The sequence below is a fragment of the Homo sapiens genome, chromosome 16, assembly GCF_000001405.40.
Source record: "Homo sapiens chromosome 16, GRCh38.p14 Primary Assembly".
Lineage (NCBI taxonomy): Eukaryota > Metazoa > Chordata > Mammalia > Primates > Hominidae > Homo > Homo sapiens.
Window position 1 is genome coordinate 15854912 of NC_000016.10, and position 9464 is coordinate 15864375.

The 9464-nt window shown below is 48.0% G+C and overlaps 1 protein-coding gene across 4 annotated transcripts in view, besides 1 other annotated feature; it reads right to left on the bottom strand.

Annotated features, from left to right (window-relative positions):
* The window catches only part of MYH11 (myosin heavy chain 11), a 153894-nt gene extending 151777 nt beyond the window's left edge, over positions 1 to 2117 (bottom strand). For all 4 annotated transcript variants that reach the window (NM_002474.3, NM_022844.3, NM_001040114.2 and 1 more), the window contains exon 1: positions 2030 to 2117. The gene's annotated coding sequence lies outside the window, so the exon portion shown is untranslated. The remainder of the gene's footprint in view (positions 1 to 2029) is intronic.
* Positions 3163 to 3664: an enhancer, noted in NCBI's record as "H3K4me1 hESC enhancer chr16:15951931-15952432 (GRCh37/hg19 assembly coordinates)". NCBI's record gives its function as "activates a minimal SCP1, AML or CMV promoter by ChIP-STARR-seq in naive H9 embryonic stem cells {active_cell/tissue: H9 hESC(naive)}" and the evidence as "EXISTENCE:reporter gene assay evidence [ECO:0000049][PMID:30033119]".

A 9464-nucleotide genomic window follows, 5' to 3' on the forward strand; every position in this document is an offset into this window, starting at 1 on the left:
CCTTAGGGTTTCTCCACTAGTTCTTCAATGGGTGAGGGACATGGTAGACAAATCCCCAGGGCCAGGACCAACCGGGCTGCGGTGCAAGGCTGGGTAACTGACGAGGGGGCCGGGGATGGCCTCATGGAAAACGCTTCCATAAATGGGCATGTTTGCCTCAATCTCTGCCCTCCCACGGAAAAGTAATGATAACAAATCCATAACAGATACCTTGTACGGAATAACACATCTATTTCGGACATGATAATAAAAAAACATGGTGTTTACAAGGCAAGCCTGGCGGCTTCTCGGAAAAGACCCAGCTAGTTCACGTTCTGGACTCTCGGCATGGCAGCCCACCTAGGGTCACTGGTTTCAGCTAGGTCACCCCCTCAATCAGGGGACAAACAGTGCCTTTTATTTTAAATGTGCAAAAAGTCAGTTTATGTTTTCTTCAAAGGACACGGTGATAAACATTTACTTTGTTGGAAGCATTTAGTCCCACCAGAAACCTGACCCCAACAAGTTTGTGTCCATGGTAAAGAAGAAAGATAGTGGGGTCAAGGGTATGAACTTGGACTCAAACTGACCCGGGAATGGGTTCTACCACTTGCTGGCTGTGTGACACTTTACCTCTCTGAGCCTCAGCTGCCTTGTATACTAAACAGGCATCATAAAGCCTTTCTTATGAAGTTGTTGCAAAGATTAAATGAGATAAATTAAGTTAAATGTTGCAACAGCATGTGGCACTGAAGTGTTCCATCAACGGTAGCTATCTCAAAGGGAAAACATCAATTTCCTTCAAACAAAATTCTCTATCTTATTTCACACCCTGCCACCTAATGACTTTCAGTTCAGCGTCAAGTTCCGTCTCTGAACAATTCTAAAATAGTATCGTTGAGTAAATCAAAGAAACAAAAAACTATGCAAAGCAGTTTATTAATAGCCTGCATTCTTTTTGCCAAACCCCGGACGGACAGTTCACCATTTAATCTCTCAGTTCTTCATACTGCAACTAAACACTCCCACCTTGGGTTTCTAAATATTTTCTTTTACTTCTTGACAAGCATGGCTTTGGATGGTACCTTTTCTCAAGTGGCAAAATCCCTACCAGACCCTGTGCTGGAAGAAAACTTACAACAGGCAGTAGCCACACTTTCTCTCGTTTTACCCATTTGGTTGGGCACGAGAGTGGCATTGACACAGGTGGCTCTGCGGGAAATTCTAGTGTAATCTTACCTAACGCACCTGCAGATCGTGGAAGCAAATGGAGACTTTGGAGCCCACCTGGGTATCTGGGGGCCCTTTGGGGTCAACCTGGGTGAGTTGTTTTTTTTTTTTTTAATTTGGAGAAGAGGAAAAAGTGGGCTGTAACAAACTAGATCACAACCAGCCTTATCTCCCAGGGGTTCTCAACATAGAAGAACCTCCCCTAAACTGATTAAAAAAAAAAAACAACAACACTCCTTTCTGCTAAGCCTATGCCCATGTGTTTTTAACTGATTTAATGCATTATCAACACAACTGTGCAATACGGTCAAATCCACAAGGAGCCTCACTTTGCCCTTCTGTGTGATAGCAAGTGACTTTTCAGTGAAGTTCAGCTGTAAATTTTTTGGTGCCTAGAATAAAAGTGAGATGCCTTGATTGTCTGCACCGGACCTCTGAGATTTCCAAGGGAGCATATCTCCTGGATTAGCCTCTTAACAAGAATCACTCGGGACTAATTTTTTTTTTTTTAAGGCAGTTTTTCTGGGGATTCTAGAGTTGGGAAATGGAGTTGGGTCCAGGCATTGATATCGTTAATAAGCACCCCCAAAATGGTACTTCTCACTGGCAATCTTAAGAAATGCTGTTTGGGGAAAGTCTAGGATAATCTAAGACGATAAGGCAGAGAGAGATCCAAATCACAACTCTGCCCCCACCATGGCCCTTACGAGGTTGACAACAGGGACCCCTAAGTGCACCCCAGCCCCTATAGAATACCCTATAGGACTTTTAACACCCCCCTGCCCTGCAATCTGCCCCCAGAATGACAACTACTACTTACAGATCTCCAACTGGGGGGACTAGTGGAGAGGAAACTGGATGGCGAGCTCGGATCTGACGCACCTCCCAGGCCGGAGCGTCCAAATCTCCCTGCGCGTCCTCGGACGCCTCTCTTTATAGACCCGGAGCTGCCCGCGGCTGGGAAAGGGGAGGAGGCCGAAGGGGTGGAGTTGGGGAGGGTCCCTCGCGGCCCCCTCGCCGCGCCCCCTGCAGGGCGCACCCCCGGCGGGAGCGCAAGGAGCTGGGGCGCTCGGGACAAGGGTGCACGGAACAGGTGCGCACCGCACAAGGGCGCACGGAACAGGTGCGCACAGGGACGGGAGTCTCAGCCCCGGCCCCAGGCGGTCGCAGACGCTCCGGATCCCTAGAGAAAGGGGGTCGAGCAGGCAGTGTCTGTGCGGGATGCTTGAGAACGTCTTCCCTGAGTCGGTTCCGGCCGCAAAGGCTTTAACCTCTTCCTCCCCGTGTCGGGGCTGTGGTGGATCTGACTTGACATCTCCCACCCCACTTCCCATTTTATTGGCATCGCACTGTCTGGAAAGAGGGCCGGCTGTGCAGCGTGAAGGGTAGGGAAAGGGGATTTCTTGAACTTTGCAAAGTGCAAGACAGGAGGCCCCCACCCTTGCTGGGAACCGTGCAGGAAGGGGAAGTTTTTACTTTTCCCAACTTGCCATCTCCACCTCCACCCACATCACCACGACCAAAATACAAATAAAAATTAAAAATAAGCCCACTGTGATTATTTCAGCTGTCCCCCTCCCCTGTGCGCCACTCGCCAGCTGCGTGACCTTGGGCAAGTCACTTCACTTCTCTGAGACTTGGTGTCCATAGCTACAAAATGGGGGAAGGCGGTGGCGGTGATAATTACGTTATTTACAAGATGCAAGTGTCAAGATCCAAGGAGAAAGTGGGTGTGCCCCCAGAGTCTGCGAGTTCCCTTCAACAACTTCCCTTCCCCAAGGATTCCTCGCCTAAAATTGCATTCCCTGTCTCTCTCCATCACAGGCTCTCTCGCTCTGTCTCTGCCACTGTCTCTGCATGTCTGTCACTCTGATCATTGCTGTCTCTCGCTCTATCTTTTGTCTCTGTCCCTCTCGCTTCTCTAGATCTGTCGATGTATCTGTCTCTCCCTCCTGTCTCACTTTGTCTCTGGTCTCTGTGTCTCTTGCTCTCCATCTCTCCCGCGTGTCTCACTCCTATCTCTGCGCTTTCTCTCTCTCTCTTCCCCAGGCTCTCCGTCTTCTCCCCGTCCCTCCCTCCCCGCTCCTGTCCACGCACGCACACACAGGCCATAAAAGGAAGTCGAGGCGGTGGGCTGGCCCCGCGCCAGGCCGGGGACCCGCGGGCAGCCCGGGCGCTCCGCTCCCCGCGCGGCACCAGCTCCTCCGAGGTTCCCGGGCCGGGCCGGGCCGGGCCGGTCCCCCTCCCCGGGAGCGGCGGGAGCGGCGGGCGGGAGACAACCCAAAAAGGGCAGGCGCGGACTCCTTCCTGCAGGAATTCCCAGCGCCGCATACCAGCTCTGGGCTGCCGGCTCCCCCTGACTAAATATGGTGCCGAGTGGCCTTCCTGCTCCCCGGCGTCGGGGGAGGGGGCCCTTCACGCAGCCACCGGCCGCCGTTGCCCCGCGGGGCTAGATGGGGACCCCTCTGCTTGGGGAAGGCCCGGAAGGGGGCAGCCCCCAGTCCCACGTGGGTTTCTGCTGCTTCAGGCTAGAGGATTTGGAGAGAGGGTTAAAGTTGGGCAGACCCCTCCTGGGTTCTGTACTTGACGCAGGCCCTTAGTCTACAACCACTCCTCTTGCAACCAGGTGGAGGGGCTGGGGGCCGGGGGTGCGGGGGGTGGCTTTATTAATACCCCCATTTTGCAGGTGAGAAAATTGAGTCCCTGCAGGGGTAAAGGGATTTGACCAAGCTCTCACTGGGACAGTCATTGATTGGTGCTGGCACTGGAACCTTTCTGATGACACCATTCACTTCCAGAGAGGAGACATTAAAGGGAAATGCCCAGGCAAACTGGCCTTGAGGCCCAGGGCGTGTATCTGAGAGTAGATGTCTGGCTTTGAATCTGCCAGTGCTGCTTTCTACCTATATGACCATGGGCAAGTAACTTTGCCTCTCCATGCCTCAATTTCCCTACCTGTAAGATGGGAAGAACATCAGCTACTTCCTGGCCTTTTTGTAAGCAGTCCTTGAGATGATCCATGTAAAATGAACATGGTGCACCGCTTCATGTGAGCTGCTGTTACTCGCAACAAACATGAAACCAACTAGAGTTGCACCAGGCCTCCGGGATATAAAGAGAGGCCTCTTCCCCTGCAGGCTCCCAGGCCCATCTGGAGAGCTCTGCATCTCAGACCCTTTTGGGTCCTTCTTCATCCTTCCAACATCAAGCTTACCTGGTTTTCACCCTGGAAACTCCTGAGCCTGGCCCTCACCCTGCAATGGGCCTAGATCAGAGAGTCAAGAACAGCCTGCATTTAGCTGGCTGGGGAAGTGAGGGGTAAAGCTCTGCGGAAAATGATGAATGAGCTGCTCCGCACAGGCTTTTAACATCTACGCTGTAAAAGGAGTGGAAATCGTCCCTGCATCAGCACAGAAATGATGTGGAGCAGAGAAGTAACGGAAGGGGGAAAATTGAAGTCAATCATCCGCTTCCCATCCTGGAAAGGGAAGGCCATCGGAATCTAGCTTGCTGGCCTCGAAGTAAAAACTGGCATTAATACTAGAGGCATGAACACTGTATTTCCAAAGGGTTCCATTCGATTCTTTAAATAACTTGTTGGTAACTTTTAAAAGAGAATAATTATAATGTGATTAACAACTGGAGACTGTAACACTCAATTTTACTTCATTCTCTCACCTACCCCTTATATAACAACCCTTTATTAAAAATTAAAGTAGGCAGCCGGGCACGGTGGCTCTTGCCTGTAATCCCAGCACTTTGGGAGGCCAAAGTAGGCGGATCACTTGAAGTCAGAAGTTCAAGACCAGCCTAGCCAACATGGTGAAACCCCCATTTCTACTAAAAATATAAAAATTAGCTGGGCATGGTGGTGCACACCTGTGGTCCCAGCTACTTGGGAGGCTGAGGCAGGATAATTGCTTGAACCCAGGAGGCAGAGGTTGCAGTGAGCTGAGATTGTGTCACTGCACTCCAGCCTGGGAGCCTGGATGACAGAGCAAGACTCCAACTCAAAAAAAAAAAAAAAAAGCAAAACTAAAGTGGCCAAGGCCAGGCATGGTGGCTCACAACTGTAATCCTAGCACTTTGGGAGGCCAAAGCAGGAGGATTGCTTGAGCTCAGGAGTTTGAGACCAGCCTGGGCAACATAGCAAGACCCTGTCTCTACAAAAAATAAAAAGTTAGCCATGTGTGGTGGTGGGTACCTGTAATCCCAGCTCCTTGGGAGGCTGAGGTGGGAAGATCACTTGAGCCTGGGAGGCAGAGGTTGCAGTGAGCTGAGACTCTGTCACTGTACTCCAGCCTGGGTGGCAGAGTGAGACCCTGTCTTGAAAAAAAAAATTTTTTTTAAGTAGCCAGCCTGGGCAACATGGTGAGATGCAATCTCAATAAATAAATAAATAATAAATAGCAGCTGGGCGTAGTGTAGCCTGAAGTTCCAGCTACTAGGGAGGCTGAGGTAGGAGGATCTCTTGAGCTTGGAAGGTTGAGACTACAGTGAACTATGATTGCACCACTGCACTCTAGCCTGGGCGACAGAGCAAGATGTTGTCTCTAAAAAATAAGGTACATACTTTAATTCCCTCCCTACCCCCATTTTATTGTTGAGAATCTAGGTTTGGAGGGGTTAAATAACACAGCAGTGGTGGAACAGGAATTCCAACCCCAGTCTTTCTGACACAGGCCATAGTAGACAGCAGTCTGAGGTTTTAAACCCAGATCTCTTAAGCACCAACCAAGCACCTTTGGGATTGTCAGTAAACCTCTCTGAGCGCATTTTCTCAAGGAAAAACAAAGATGATCAGATTCTTTGCCTCAAGTACCTTTCTGATTGTTAAATATGACAGCACATGTGAAGGCCTTTATGAACCATCTCCGACCTCTCTAGTACCCTCTGGAAGCAGGCAGGGACAGTATGTTCACTTAAGAGTCATTCAATAGATATGTGTCCAATGCATGAAGTTCCGATGTTTGAATCTTCAGAAGTGCATTGTTATCATTCGATCAGATGCCTCTGTTTCATTTCTCATGGCTCAAAAGGTCAGTTCTTTTAAGATGGAGGAGGCAATAGTCTCTTTTTAAAATGTCACTTTGACTGAGTGCTGTCAAGTAATTTTCCTTGGCATATCTTTTTCTGTGACCGGCTGTTTAATGGGAGTTTCCACGAATCCATGAAACAAGACAGCCAAGGGGAAATTTCTCTCTTATAGTCTTTTTTTGCTGTTGGCTTAAAAAAGCCCCAAAGTGGCTGGGCATGCCTGTAATCCTAGCACTTTGAGAGGCTGCAGCGGAAGGATCGCTTGAGCCCAGGAGTTCAAGAACAGCCTAGGTAACATAGCAAGATCCCTGTCTCTACAAAATAATAATAATAATAATAATAATAATAATAATAATAATAATAATAATTAGTCGAGCACAGCAGTGTGTGCCTGTAGTCCCAACTAGAGAGTGAAGTAGGAGGATTGTTTGAGCCCCAGAGTTTGAGGCTGCAGTGAACTGTGATCGTACCAGTGCACTCCAGCCTGGGCAACAGAGCAAGACCCTGTCTCAAAAAAACAAAACAAAACAAAACCATGAAGTGTGATCCCCTCCAATTTTTAGTAACATCGAAGATTGGGTCTGAGCATGGCTTACTCCTGCATGTGCCTCAAGATTTAATATTTTTTGGCCGGGCACAGTGGCTCACACCTGTAATCCCAGCACTTTGGGAGGCCAAGGTGGAGGGAACACTTGAGGTCAGGAGTTCGAGACCAGCCTGGCCAACATGGTAAAACCCTATCACTACTAAAAATACAAAAACTAGTCGGGTGTGGTTGTGCACGCCTGTAGTCCCAGCTACTTGGGAGGCTGAGACAGGAGAATCCCTTGAACCTGGGAGGTGGAGGTTGCAGTGAGCCAAGATCACACCATTGCACTCTAGCCTAGGCTAGAGAGAGAGGCTCCATCTCAAAAAAAAAAAAAAGAAGATTTAATAATTTTAAAGTGTTATCAGCCTTGATCTACTTGACTCATATAGAGTCAGGTAGATCTGGCCCAAGATCTGTGAATAAAGGAACATCGTTCCTGACCACAAGCAGGGCCATGCTCCAACTCTTGCACAAAAGCACTTTTGTTTCACTCATGGTGGCCCCCATGATGGACCTCACACTTCTCCCGATACTAGACTGCATTGCATAGTAACCTGCAATGCTCTTTCCTTCATCATCAGTTTCCAATTCTGATGTCACGATTTGGTTCATGACATTCCTGATAGATTCTCTATGTCTATCAGGAAGGGTCCTAAAACTCTCAATAAAAGTAGTTCTACAGTTTTTTAAAAATGAAACACACAGGGCACGGTTGCTCACGCCTGTAATCCCAGCACTTTGGGAGGCTGAGGCAGGTGGATCTCCTGAGGTCAGGAGTTCGAGACCAGCCTGGCCAACATGGTGAAACCCCATCTGTACTAAAAGCACAAAAATTAGCCAGGCATGGTGGCGGGCGCCTGTAATCCCAGCTACTCAGGAGGCTGAGGTGGGAGAATCGCTTGAACCTGAGAGGCAGAGGTTGCAGTGAGCCAAGATCATGCCATTGCACTCTAGCCTGGGCGACAAAAGTGAAACTCCGTCTCAATAAAAAAACAAAAACAAACAAACAAACAGAAACAAAAACAAACACGCTCTTACCATATAATCCAGAAAATTCTTCTTAGGATTTGCCCAAAAGAGTTGAAAACTTCTGTCCATACAAAACCCTGCACGCACATGAAGTTTATAACAGCTTTACTCACTATCGCCAAAACTTGGAAGCAGCCAAGATGTCCCTCAGTAGGTGAATGGATACATAACAATGGAATATTATTCAGTGCTAAAAACAAATGAGCTATCAAGGCATGAAAAGACGAAGGAAAATTACAGCTGGGCATTGTGGCTCATGCCTGTAATCCCAGCACTTTGGGAGGTCAAGGCAGATGGATCAGCTGAGGTCAGGAGTTCGAGTTCAGCCTGGCCAACATGGTGAAACCCTGTCTCTGCTAAAAATACAAAAATTAACCAGGTGTGATGGTGGACACCTGTAATCTGAGCTACTCAGGAGGCTGAAGCAGGAGAATCGCTTGAATCAGGGAGATGGAGTTTGCTGTGAGCCGAGATCGTACCACTGCACTCCAGCCTGGGTGACAGAGCGAGACTCTGTCTAAAAAAAAAAAAAGGCAGGAAGAAAACTTAAATGCTTGTTACTAAATGAAAGATGCTAATCTGAAAAGGCCACGTACTGTACGATTCCAACTATACAACATTCTGGAAGAGACAGGAATAGGTGGAGTAGAGAAGATTTTCTAGGGCAGTGACACTCCTCTGCATGATACTAAAATGGTGAATACATGTCACTAGACATCTGTCCAAAACCATGGAATGTGCAGGCAGTCCCCAACTTATAATGGTTAAACTTAACGATTTTTCAACTTTATGAAGGTGGGAAAATGGTGCATTCAGTGAAACCGTACTTTGAATACCGACAAAACCATGTTTTTTCACTTTCAATACAGTATTCAATAAATTACATGAGATGGTCAACACTTTATTATAAAATAGGATTTGTGTTTGATAATTTTGCCCAATGGTAGGCTAATCTAAGTGACCTGAACATGTTAAGTAGGCTAGGCTAAGCTAAGATGCTCGGTAGGTGAGGTGTATTAAATACATTTTGGGCTGGGCATGGTGGCTCACATCTGTAATCCCAGTACTTTGTGAGGCTAAGATGGGCAGATCACTTGGATTCAGGAGTTCGAGACCAGCCTGGGCAACATAGTGAGATCCTGTCTCTACAAAAAATACAAAAATTCACCAGGTGTGGTGGCATGTGCCTATAGTCCCAGCTATTCAGGAGACTGAGGCAAAGGACCACTTGAGCCTTGGAGGCGGAGGTTGCAGTGAGCCCAGATCGCACAACTGCACTGCAGCCTGGGTGCTAGAGTGAGACCCTATCCAATAAATAAATAAATGCATTTTGACTTATTTTCAACTTGTGATAGTTTTGAGATGTAATCCCATGAGTCAAAGAGCATCTGTACAATACCAAGAGTGAACCCTAATGTAACTATGGACTTTTTGTGATAATAATGTGTCAAAATAGATCCACCCATTGGAATACATGTGCCACTCGATGCCGGATCTTGACAGTGGGAGAAGCTAGACATGCATGGGTGCAGGGGGCAGTCAGGAGCTCTGTGCTTCCAGTCCATTTAGCCATGAACCTAAAACTGCTCTAAAAAACGAG